The 12,763-nt window shown below is 36.6% G+C and overlaps 1 protein-coding gene across 51 annotated transcripts in view, besides 1 other annotated feature; it reads left to right on the top strand.

Annotated features, from left to right (window-relative positions):
- The window catches only part of TUT4 (terminal uridylyl transferase 4), a 130,189-nt gene that overhangs the window by 76,483 nt on the left and 40,943 nt on the right, over positions 1-12,763 (top strand). For 43 of the 51 annotated variants that reach the window (XM_017000804.3, XM_047416324.1, XM_047416327.1 and 40 more), the window contains 4 exons: positions 1,446-2,149; positions 4,879-5,029; positions 8,714-8,800; positions 11,808-11,911. In XM_017000804.3, the coding sequence (XP_016856293.1) occupies positions 1,446-2,149; positions 4,879-5,029; positions 8,714-8,800; positions 11,808-11,911 (1,046 nt within the window). The remainder of the gene's footprint in view (positions 1-1,445; positions 2,150-4,878; positions 5,030-8,713; positions 8,801-11,807; positions 11,912-12,763) is intronic. The other 8 variants (XM_047416416.1, XM_047416394.1, XM_047416388.1 and 5 more) reach the window with 1 other exon arrangement.
- Positions 1,818-2,018: a silencer, noted in NCBI's record as "peak227 fragment used in MPRA reporter construct". NCBI's record gives its function as "represses an SCP1 promoter by STARR-seq MPRAs in K562 erythroleukemia cells {active_cell/tissue: K562}" and the evidence as "EXISTENCE:reporter gene assay evidence [ECO:0000049][PMID:32103011]".

Below are 12,763 nucleotides of genomic sequence, written 5' to 3'. Positions count from 1 at the left end.
TCAGATCCCAAGACCATTAAGATCTTTGGAGATACAGAAAACAATAGAGTGGCTCCTCAATTCTTAATCAAAAATTTAAATTTCACAGCATGTCACTTACCTTTTGTAGATAAGAAATTGAATTTATGTCCGTTTTAGTCTGTTCAGCCTACATATTATTCCATTCCCTCACACCTGCTGGCCTTCTCTACTGTGAGTTCAACCCAGAAATATTCTGAAATATACATGCAAACATTTATACACATCTTGTACTCTTATATATAGTAAATAAATGAGCTCTGAAGCCTGCCAGCCATAATTTATCTCTTTTTTTTTCTTTCTTTTCCCCCCCTCTTTCATTTTCTTTGGGAAGTGAGGAAGAAAGTAGAAAAATCTTTTTAAAGCCTGTGGATTTAGATAGCAGCAAAAAGTAACAGATGCCCCAACTTTAACAGTTTGAAGCCTGGCCTGTTAATACCAAAAGATCTTCAGTAGTGGAGAGCATATGTATTGTCTTTTTGGTGCACTGTTCTTTTTTCCTGGGGGTTATCTATATTTAAGGCTTACAGATATTTTCAGAAATCTGTCATGTTATTAATAATAAGGATGCAGCTGTGTCAAGACTTTACAGGGTAGTTATTTTTGACTGGATCAAAGTTTAAATATTGGTTTAATTTTTACTTTTTTAGGTTTCTTGCTTTTTTGCTCTTTCTTCCTACTACTGTCTTTTACTTTTTAATCTCACTAAAGTTAAATCTTAAAATCAGTTTTTTTTCAAGTTGAAGCCTTGAGAGTTTTAAGTTTGTTTTACTTGTTTATATTGCAAAGAGCATATAACTATATTAAAAAACACTGTGACCCGGGTGCAGTGCCTCATGCCTGTAATCCCAGCACTTTGGGAGGCTGAAGCAGGCGGATCACCTGAGGTCAGAAGTTCAAGACCAGCCTGGCCAACATGGTGAAACTCCATCTCTACTAAAAATACAAAAATTAGCTGGGCGTGGTGGCGTGTACCTGTAGTCCCAGCTACTCCGGAGGCTGAGTCAGGAGAATCGCTTGAACCTGGGAGGCAGAGGTTGCAGTGAGCTGAGATCATAGCACTGTACTCCAGCTTGGGGGACAGAGCAAGACTCCATCTCAAAAGAAAAAAAAAAACTCCTTTTTCCACAATTTCATCATTGAAACTAATTACTTAGTTGGCCTTCTCAGCCATCCCATTATTAGTGACCTTATTATTAGTCTTGTTTATTTTTCCTTTTAGCTTTTTATTTTATGAGAGAAAGAAAAAAATGTTGCAATTGTATTTCCTCCCATTTTCAGGAACTTTCACTGGGAGTCTAGCTTAGAAAAACCCCTTGGGAAAATGTATTCTCCTGACAGTTTATCAGTTAAGATCTACTTGTATGAGCTTGGAAATGTAGTTTGTTAGTAGAGACTTAGCTATTTACCATTTTCTCTTTTGCTAGATCCATTTTCAGTCAAGAGGAATGTTGCACGGAGCTTAAACAGCCAGCTGGTTTACGAATATGTTGTGGAGAGATTTAGGGCAGCTTATCGGTATTTTGCCTGTCCTCAGACGAAGGGTGGAAATAAGTCTACAGTGGATTTCAAGAAAAGAGAGAAGGGGAAAATAAGCAATAAGAAACCAGTCAAGTCGAACAATATGGCAACCAATGGTTGTATTCTGCTTGGGGAAACCACAGAAAAAATAAATGCAGAAAGAGAGCAACCTGTTCAATGTGATGAAATGGACTGTACATCACAGAGATGTATTATTGACAACAACAATTTGTTGGTAAATGAACTAGATTTTGCTGACCACGGACAGGACTCTTCATCTCTTTCTACCAGCAAAAGCAGTGAAATAGAGCCAAAATTAGATAAGAAACAAGATGATTTAGCGCCTTCAGAAACTTGTTTAAAAAAAGAGCTCAGCCAATGTAATTGCATTGATTTGTCTAAGTCGCCTGACCCAGATAAATCTACTGGAACAGACTGCAGGTCAAATTTAGAAACAGAGAGTTCACATCAGAGTGTGTGCACCGACACATCTGCTACCTCTTGCAACTGCAAAGCTACAGAAGATGCTTCTGACCTTAATGATGATGATAACCTCCCCACCCAGGAATTATATTATGTGTTTGATAAGTTTATTTTAACCTCTGGCAAGGTAGGATACAGTTTGTAAATGATCTGTAAGATTTTGTGGTTGTTGTATGACTATGTATATTTTTTAGATTAGAAATGTAAAAATAGCTATATAAAGTGGTGACTTGTTTTGGAATGATATTTTGGTATGTATTTTACCTTTTGTGTTTTTCATATAGTTGCCTTTAAATAATGTATATAAAGCCTCAAAAGGTTTCAGCATTCTATTACCAGTTGGTTTCCTTTACTTTCTCATATATGAAAGGATTCATCTGATATTTCATGAAAATCTTAGCAAAGGTAGCATGCATTTTAAATGTTGCTTATTTTGTATTTTTTTCCCCAACAAAAGCCACATTCAAGCTTATTTTTATACATAAAATTTTTCTTCCCCCCCCAAAATAAAAGGTTTGTAAATTCTAATAGTATTCTACTTTAAAGATATTTTTAGAGGGGGGAAATATAAGCATACTAAAGGTAGTTGAGGGAAACTAAGATTAATAGTCAAAAAAATGAAGAATCCAGATTCTGTTTCTGCTACTGAGCCTCTGGATTTCGGCTTATCCTATATGAATTACAGGAATCCAAACTTTTCTACTTTTTCTTTTCAAGTAAGATAGTATGAACTTATTACTACTATTATTTTGAGACAAGGTCTGGCTCTGTTGCCCAGGCTGAAGTGCAGTGGTGCAATCTCAGCTCACTGCAACCTCTGCCTCCCGGGCTCAAGCCATTCTCCCACCTCAGCCTCCTGAGTAGCTGGGACAACAGGCGCATGCCACCATGTCTGGCTAATTTTTGTATTTTTTTGTAGAGATGGGATTTCGCCATGTTGCCCAGGCTGGTCTCGAACTTGTGAGCTCAAGTGATCCGCCTGCTTTGGCCTCCCAAAGTGCTGGGATTATAGATGTGAGCTACTGCACCTGGCCAGATAGTCTGAACTTTAACTCATAAAGGAAATCATTTAAAATCATAGGAAAAAACCCATTGAACAGGAAGTAAGCGATAACTGCTTTGTGAATAAAACAAAGTTTTAACCGAATCACAGTACTTCAAGTGCATTCCAGATAATTGCAATATCATTATTAGTATCCATGTGAAAAAATGATTATACAGATCATGCATAAGCCAAGTAGAATATTAAAAAAAAACAAAAGGAAAGTCATCTAGCCTTATCCAGGCTTATTGTTTTATCGTAGTTATTGACAAGCTTTAAGATGTTTAACCTAATTATTAAATAGTATTGCCTGTTTTTTAAAAATCTGCTTTATTAAGGTATGGCTAGCATTTAAAAAGCTATAGATATTTAATGTCTACAACTGGATGTGTTTGAACTTAAGTATATATATTATTATCACTGTCAATGCCACAAACCTATCCATCCATCAGCTCCAAAAGTACCCTCCTCTTCTTTTCCTTTTGTTGTTAGAGAACTTAAGAGGTACCTTATTAGCAAATTTAAGAATATAATACAGTATTATTAATCTGTACAGATCTCCAGAACTACTTTGTACAGATCTCCAGAACTTATTTATTTTGCACAAATGAAACTTTGTACCCTTTGACCAACACCTCCCCATTTTCCCCTCCCAATAAGCAGTATTTCTTCATTCTATGTAAATATACATCTGTTGCATTTTATCTAGGTTGCAGTATTTAAGGCACATGCACTATTGAAAGCATCAAATAAATGGCAGGTTTTTAGAAAACTTAATTATATAACTTCAGTTTACATGTCTTATGCTTTATACTTTTTTTCCTGGAAACTTAGGGTAAGTACTGTTGTTCCAGTTTTCATTTTTACTATTTAAAGAGTTTCCTGCCTAAATATGTCATTTTTTAAAAAAAGCTTTGAAAAGGTGATAGAGATTCTTGTAGTACTGTTAATTAGCCCACAGTGCATCATTCTTACAAAGAGAGATTTCCTTATATAATTTGTATCAGAATTTATGGCTATATAAATGTCCAGGCTAACATTGGAGAAAGACACTTTAGGATGTAGGCATATTACAATAAAGAAAAGAGTATTGGTGTTTTTTAAACATATGTGTTTCTTTCTTTGAGTTGGCATAAATTTTTGTGTTTTAACCACTTGTTTGGTGTCCATTGAAATACATTTAAAATGGTTATATAGGGTTTGGAGTTCATTTTGTGGCTATTGGATAAGTTACTCTTCGTATGAAGCTAATTTATTTTTAGTGTTCAGTCTGCAGTTTGGTCTCTTGAGCAACTAATTTAGTAAATTAGTTTAATAATTTATTAAATATTAAATAATTTAATAATAAATTAGTTTAATTAATTTATTAATTTAATAAACCAACTAAGTGAGGGTTCTGTGATTGATTCAGAAAATAGAAAATGTTTGGAGTGAAATGAAAGGTGCACCTTAAAATTTCTTTATAACCTATTTTGTTAGATCTCAGTAAGTTAAAAATAAATGCATATATTTTCCTTTGGGAGCTGTTTGAATGAACTCATACTTTCTGCATCTCCTGGCATTTTCTGTATCTTCCATTTTCAGGTTAATTTAATCCTTGATATAATTTTAGTGGGGAAGAAAAAGTGGTTGACTCAAAAAACTTTTTTGTAGCTAATACTGCATTTTAACAACATGTTTTTTTTTTTAATTACCTCCTGAAAGCACAGGTTATCAAAACTGAGTTACATAAAAGATTTGTTTTGAATTCACTTCCTAAGTGATGAAGTCCCTCAAAAGTTTATTAGATTAGATTTCTTTTTATCTTTGTGTAGCCACCAACGATAGTATGCAGCATCTGCAAAAAGGATGGCCATTCAAAGAATGATTGCCCAGAGGATTTTAGGAAAATTGATTTAAAACCTCTACCACCAATGACAAACCGATTTCGGGAAATACTTGATTTAGTATGTAAAAGATGTTTTGGTAAGTCTTTCATTACTACAACTATTGGGACTAGATTCCTTCTTAGATATTAAATATTAATTTTCTGATTTAAAAACAGTTTGTTTACGTTTTGTTTTGCTAGAGGTTTTTGAATAGATACCCAAGCACAGATATTTACTAAATGACTATTATGTGCAGGGCATCATGGTAAATGCCAAGGGGAATTGAGAGTCCATATATATTGCTTTTAAGGAGCTTAAAATATGGATATGAGCTGTCTAACATGGTAGCTTCTAGCCTATGTGGCTTTTAACTTTAAATCAATTAAAATTAAATTAAAAACCAAGTTCTTCAGTTTTATACTAGACATATCTCAAGTACTCAGTAGCTACATGTGGCTAGTGGCTGCTGCATTGGACAGCATTGTTGATAGAGAACATTTTCATCACTGCAGCGTTCTTGGATAACACTATAGATGAGTTAATATGGCATTTATGTAAATTGCCATAATTGGAAATAGAATGTGTTACATGCTATAGTAGTGGTAAACAAAACGCAGTGTAAACACAATTTTATCTGGGGTGGATTAGAGGAATCAGGATTAATGATGTGATATTTGAGATGAACCTTGAGCTGCATTTTTAAACGTCAAAGATTATGCATAAAAGCATAGAGTGGCCGGGCGCAGTGGCCCACGCCTGTAATCCCAGCATTTTGGGAGGCCGAGGTGGGCCGATCATGAGGTCAGGAGTTCGAGACCAGCCTGGCCAACATGGTGAAACCCTGTCTCTGCTAAAAATACAGAAATTAGCTGGGCATGGTGGCCGGTGCCTGTAGTCCCAGTTACTCGGGAGTCTGAGGCAGGAGAATCGCTTGGACCTGGGAGGTGGAGGTTGTGGTGAGCCAAGATTATGCCACTGCACTCCAGCCCGGGCAACAGAGTGAGACTCCGTCTTAAAAAAAAAAAAAAAAAAAAAAAAAAGCATAGAGTGCATAATTTGTTTGGGGGAATAATTGCCTTTGATTTGGTAGGGTATAAGAAAGGCAATAGAGAGAGATAAGCCTATAAACATATTTTGGGGAACGGCTTGCATGCCTTTATTCAGCAAACGTTTACAGAGTACCTGGGAGTCACCTTTACTCAGCAAACATTTATGAATTACTTCCAGTGTCCAGGTAAGATAAAATTTCTGGTCATAACATTTAGTGCTTCATTGTAATCGCTCCCTTCTTCCCCATTTCTGCCTCCCACCAGGCAACTACTTTTCTGCTTTTGTCACTATAGATAGTTTGCATTTTCTAGAGTTCTGTATAAGTGGAATTATACAGAATGTATTCTTTTTTTGTCTGGCTTTTTTCACTCAGTATAATTACTTTGAGATTCATTTATGTTGTTGTGTATCGGTGGTTAATTTCTTCTTGTATCTGAGTAGTGTTCCATTGTATGGTTATACCACAATTTGTTTATCCATTCACCTGTTGATAAATATTTGTCTCATTTCAAAATTTTGGCTGGGTGGGTCTGGGTATGGACATATGCTTTTATTTATCTTGACTAAATACTTAGAATGGCTGGGTCATGGCACGTGTTTTTTAGCAGCTTTATTAAGATACAATTTACATTTATTTTTACTTAGTAATTTATTTACCTCAATGTGGGCTCATAGATATTTGATGCCTTGGGTTATAATTGAATATAATTTTCTTTTGTTCAGATTATTCTAGCTTTGGCCATTGGGAACTCTTTTACTTGACTACCTGGTCCCTTTTATATATATCCATCAGTGTGTGGTTTTTTTTGTTTGTTTGGGTTTTAACACTTCCATACTTTCTGGCACTACAAGATGCTCCTGGCACTGCATGTATATTTTGTGCCCTACTCCTAGAATTAGGCATTTGTCCAAGGAGCTGTGGTTCCTTTTATTGGAGAATGAGATTAGAAACCAAGACCTGAACACTAGATGTGCTTGCTGTTACTGGGCTGTCACTGCTTTGAGGCCATCTCAGAGCAACAAAATATGTGTGTATATACTAACCTATGTATATAAACTTACTATAAAGATTTCTATATGTAGCCGTCTTTTTTTTTTTTTTTTTTTGGAGACTGAGTCTCGCTCTGTCGCCCAGGCTGGAGTGCAGTGGCGCCATCTCAGCTCACTGCAAGCTCCGCCTCCTGGGTTCCAGCCATTTCTCCTGCCTCAGCCTCCCGAGTAGCTGGGACTACAGGCTCGTGCCATCACGCCCGGCTAATTTTTTGTATTTTTAGTAGAGACAGGGTTTCACTGTGTTAGCCAGGATGGTCTTGATCTCCTGACCTTGTGATCCACCCTCCTCAGCCTCCCAAAGTGCTGGGCTTACAGGTGTGAGCCACGGCGCACAGCCTGTATGTAGCCATCTTATCTGTATTAAACCAAACATGATTTCATAATGGTATATCCAACTCGAACTCATTACCACATGGCTCGTTTTAGCCCCCACTCCAACAGTGAGAAACCTGGTTCCCACCATCTATTATTCATTTTTTAAATTGTTCCATTTTAGTACATATGTATAGCAGTATCAGAACTGTTAACCAATACCCCTGTGGGAAACAACTTTATTAACTAGAGTACCGTGCTTATGTATGGTTTCTTTTGCCCTTAAGTCTTATCGATTCCACTCATTTTCAAATTTACTTAGGTCAGCACCTTTCCCCCCACTCCCTCATGTGAAGTTGTTTCATACATTTATAATATAGTTAGATTATTTTGTCACAGTCTACATTACATCCTGAGATCCCCTGACCTCCTAGATGATTTTTTTAAAATTGCATACATTAAGGCTCACTCTTTGTGCTGCAAAGTTCTGTGGGTTTTGACAAGTGCATTGTGTCATGTATCCACCATTAGAGTGTCATACAGAATAGTTTCACTGCCCTAAAACAAGTTAACGAATTACATTAATTTTATTTAACTCCCCTTCTTCTGTAAGCACTGATAACTGCATTTGTTTTTAAAAAGCTGAATATTAGTTTAATTCATTATAACAAATTCTTAATAAATTACTGCTTTGTTTCTGTTACTGTGTTAACTTTTGGGGATAAGTCTGGAAGAGATAGGGAAAAAAAGACTTTGTTCTTAAGAAATATATGGACTTATTTGGAAAAATAAGATGAATATAAATGAAATAACTAGAAAACCAAAAGGACAAAATAAATTAGGTACCAGACTGTGGCACACAGTTTGAAGAACTAAAGAAGTGTGGAACTAAGGAGAGATCATTGAAGGCTGTGGTTAGGCAAAACAGTTTATAGGGAAGATAGAAATTTTGACCAGGCATTTGAGGGAACTGTTAAATTTGAGTGGGCCAGATGCCTAGTATAGCAACATGAATACAGATCTTAACAAATGGGAAAATAAGCATGGATATGGGGGAGAGTGAAGAAGTAAATAGGTTTGTAGATATACGGAAAATGATCATGTGAAATGTACATATATCTTAAAAATTATTTTTCTGTTTCATTTATTTTCGTTTCTTCCCCTGGGTTGCTAAAACAGAAAAACAGTTTTTTTCCTTCTATCTCCCAGACCCTTCCCCAGTAACATTTATGGTTTTAAAGTCAGAGAAGTCAACAAATAATGAACAAACTGTAAGTAAAATTTTTAGGGTAAAAACTTGAAGATGTTTTCAGATTCTGTTTTCCTTACTTTTCTTTTTCCTTTTTTCTTCTTTTTATAAACCCAGATGAGTTATCACCACCTTGTTCTGAACAACACAACAGGGAGCAAATTTTAATTGGCTTGGAAAAGTTTATTCAAAAAGAATATGATGGTATGTCATAGGTTAAAAAATTTATTGCGTTTTTGCTGTAGTCATGTAGTCTTGAGTTTCATTTATTTAAAAATATTTATTGAATGCTATGTGTTAAGTACTGTTCTAGTTGCTGGGAATACAGTGCTAATAAAAGAGATGAAACCTCATGAAGCTTATGTTTCAAATGGGGAGACAAATAGTTGACTAATAAATATATAATATTATATCAGCAAATAATACATGCTGTTAAAAGTATAGGAGATAAAAGAACTGAAGTGATGGAGTGTTATGATAGGCCTCTCTCATAAGGTAGCATTTGAGGAGAATCCTGAATAACATGAAGGAGCAAGTTATATAAATATCCAAGGAGAAAACATTGTTGATGGAACAAGAATAGATTATGTTTGGCATATTTGAGGAATAGCCAGGAAGTCAGTGTGGCTGGAGTGGAGTATTAGAGGTAGATTGTAATGTATAGAAGAGGTCAGAGAGGGGGTCTAGGGATTAAGTCATTAGTGCCTTATGGATGTTGGTAGAAAGCCTTTGAATTTTATTTTGAGTACCTAATGAGAATCTTTTAGAGGATTTTTAGTTAATAAATGACATGATCTGAGTGAATGGTTTGCTGGGCTATAAGACTGGAAGCAAGCAGAACATTTAGGAGGCTGTTGTGTGAGTCCAGAGTAGATGAGAAGTGGTCAGATTTGGGATATATTTTGAAGGTAGAACCAATAGGATTTGCTGATGGAAAATGTGAGGCATGAGAGAAAGAAAGAAATCAAGGATGGTTTCAAGGTTTTTGCTATAACAGTTACAGTAGGTGGTCCTATATAACTGAGATGGCAAAGAGCAGGAAGAGTAAGTTTTGGGCATGGGGATGAAGAATCAAGATTTTTGTGACTAAATATTTTAGAAAAGGATAAAAGTTGACTTTAATCAGAATGAATTTGTACTTTTACAAGATGACCCATTATGTGCTACATATTACAATTAAAAGTATTTGAAAACAAATATTTTTTAAATTAAAAAATCATATCATCATTATTGTTTTTTAGAGACAGGTTCTCACTCTGTTGCCCAGACTGGAGTGCAGTGGCATGATCATAGCTCACTGCAGCCTCAAACTTCCGGGCTCAAGCAATCCTCCTGCCTTAGCCTCCCAAGTCGTTAGGACTACAGGTGTGTGCCACCATGCTTAGCTAATTTATTTTTTATTAAGAAATATTTTTTTTGGCCAGGTGCGGTGGCTTACACCTATAATCCCAGCACTTTGGGAGGCTGAGGAAGGTGGATCACCTGAGGTCAGGAGTTCGAGACGAGTCTGGCCAATATGGCAAAACCCGTCTCTACTAAAAGTACAAGAATTTGCTGGGTGTGGTGGCACACGCCTGTAGTCCCAGCTACTCAGGCTGAGGCAGGAGAATCACTTGAACCTGGGAGGCAGAGGTTGCAGTGAGCCAAGGTCATGCCTTTGCACTCCAGCCTGGGCGACAAGAGCGAAACTCTGTCTCAAAAATATATATATATATATATATATATTTTTTTTTTTTTTTGAAATAGGATATTACTCTGTCACCCGGGCTCAACTGCAGTGGTGCAATCATGTGATCAGGGTTCACTTCAGCCTTGACCTCTGAGGCTCAAGCGATCCTCCTACCTTAGTCTCCTGAGTAGCTGGGACCACAGGTGCGCGCCACCACACCCAGCACATTATTTTTTGTAGAGATGGAGTCTCACCATGTTTTCCAAGCAGGTCTCAAACTCCTGAACTCAAGTGATCCACCCACCTCAGCTTCCCAGAATTCTAGGATTACAGGCATGAGCCACCGCACCTCGCCTTCTTTTTTATCTTAAAAAATTTTTGTAAAGACAAAGTCTCACCATGTTGCCCAGCCTGGTCTCAAACGATCCTCCCACATTGGTTGGCTTCCTGAAGCGCTGGGATTATAGGAGTATATAAAGTATTGACCAAATCTAAGTCTCTATTATATAAAATCATGCTCAGTTTTATTTGCTGATGAGTATAGCTTCTTTTTTGCCTCTCAGCTATCATTGAAATTTCAAGTAGAGCATCAGAACTGGATGGGGGTATGAAGTTTTGAAAGTATAAAGTGTCCTATAAATGTGTAGTCTACTTTAGAATTAATAGGAAGAGCCAGGCCCAGTGGCACACACCTGTTATCTCAGCCACTTGGGAGGTTGAGGTGGGAGTATTGCTTGAGGCAAGGAGTTCAAGACTGTAGTGTATAATGATTGTGCCTGTGAATAGCCAGTGCACTCTAGCCTGGGCAATATAGCAAGACCCTGTCTCTAAAAAAAAAAAAGTAATAGGAAGAAAAATCCAATTCTGTTAAACCACAGCTTATTTGAAATGGTAGCTGTTATTGGATGACACTGAGTCTGAAGGGTTAACCCTATCATAATTTATATCAAGTGGACTATAATCACTCATTTTTGGAAGAGCATCGTATACTAAGGTGATATTTGTAAACCTACATGAATTGTGCTTTGAAAGAACTAATTTATTTTTAAGAGGGCAGTCCTCAAATATTGATCTTAACTATTGGTAGTGATGTTGAGAATGTATAAAAGCAGATGGATTTATTATGTAAGTCGGAAAAAGCTAAAAGTCTCAATGATTGTTTGGATGTGGACATTGAGAGACAGATATTAAGGATTGCACCTGTATTTCTGATGTGGGCATCTGTGTACATGATGGTACTATTTGCTAAGAACAGGGATAATAGAAATAGTAATAGATTTGGGGCAAAGTTGATAGTTCAGACGTGTTGAATGTATGATGTCTGTGGAAAATTGGAAAAAGCAGTTGGGTACATGGGTATGGGAACTTGGGCAAAAGCTTGGGCTCAAGATGTTTTGGAATTTCTCAGTATTTCTTCCAGTGGTAGGTAATTTAAATCATAGAAATGGACAAGAGCATGTTGTATTAGGTCATCAGCAGATAGCAGAAGACTCCTCCTCTCTGCTTATAATAAGGCCTTGGACTTTGTTTTCCTTTGCTTAGAAAAGGCAAGGTTGTGCTTATTTGGCTCTTCTAAGAATGGATTTGGATTTCGTGATAGTGATCTGGATATTTGTATGACCCTGGAAGGCCATGAAAATGCAGAGGTAAGAGTGTTTGGAAAGCGTTATGTAAGTTTATTTTCTCCCAATGACGATTCTATGTTTATTTTTGTATGTGATATTGATAAAAATGTGGTATCACTCTTTGTATAAATATATTAGCAAAATAAGTGTTTGAAATATGAAAACAGTAGCATTTTCAGTTTAGAAGACATTGAACTCTTAAGTAAAAGTGTTTCAGTAATTTTATGATACAAAAACCATGTCACTGAGAGTTACAGTGATTTGTAATGAATTTTGGGAAAAAATATATCACGAAGTTGGAATTTTTTCACTAGAACCAATGGGAAGCTGATGCATCAGTTTTGTAGTGAACATTGATCTTTCATACTTTGTCTTCTCATATCTCTTTCATTAGATGATGTCTTTGTGTTACTATAGGTAGTAAATATAGGTGGTCATCTAATTTATAATTGGTTTTGTTCTAAAAGTTAGTTATAATTTTTGACCACTCACATAAAATTTTTTCCATAGAAGCAATGTTACAGATGATATGCTAAGGGCTGGGCGTGGTAGCTCATGCCTGTAATCCCAGCACTTTGGGAGGCCAAGGTGGGCGGATCATGAGGTCAAGAGATCAAGACACTCCTGGCCAACATGGTGAAACCCCGTCTCTACGAAAAATAAAAAAAATTAGCTGGGCATGGTGGCACGCGCCTGTAGTCCCAGCTACTCAGGAGGCTGAGGCAGGAGAATCGCTTGAACCCAGGAGGCGGAGGTTGCAGTGAGCCGAGGTCACGCCACTGCACTCCAGCCTGGTGACAGAGTGAGACTCCGTCTCAGAAAATTAAAAAAAAAATAAATAAATAAAATGCTAAGATAGCTTTTAGAAACTCA

This window comes from Homo sapiens, chromosome 1 (assembly GCF_000001405.40).
Source record: "Homo sapiens chromosome 1, GRCh38.p14 Primary Assembly".
Lineage (NCBI taxonomy): Eukaryota > Metazoa > Chordata > Mammalia > Primates > Hominidae > Homo > Homo sapiens.
This window is presented reverse-complemented; position numbering and strand designations above follow the sequence as displayed.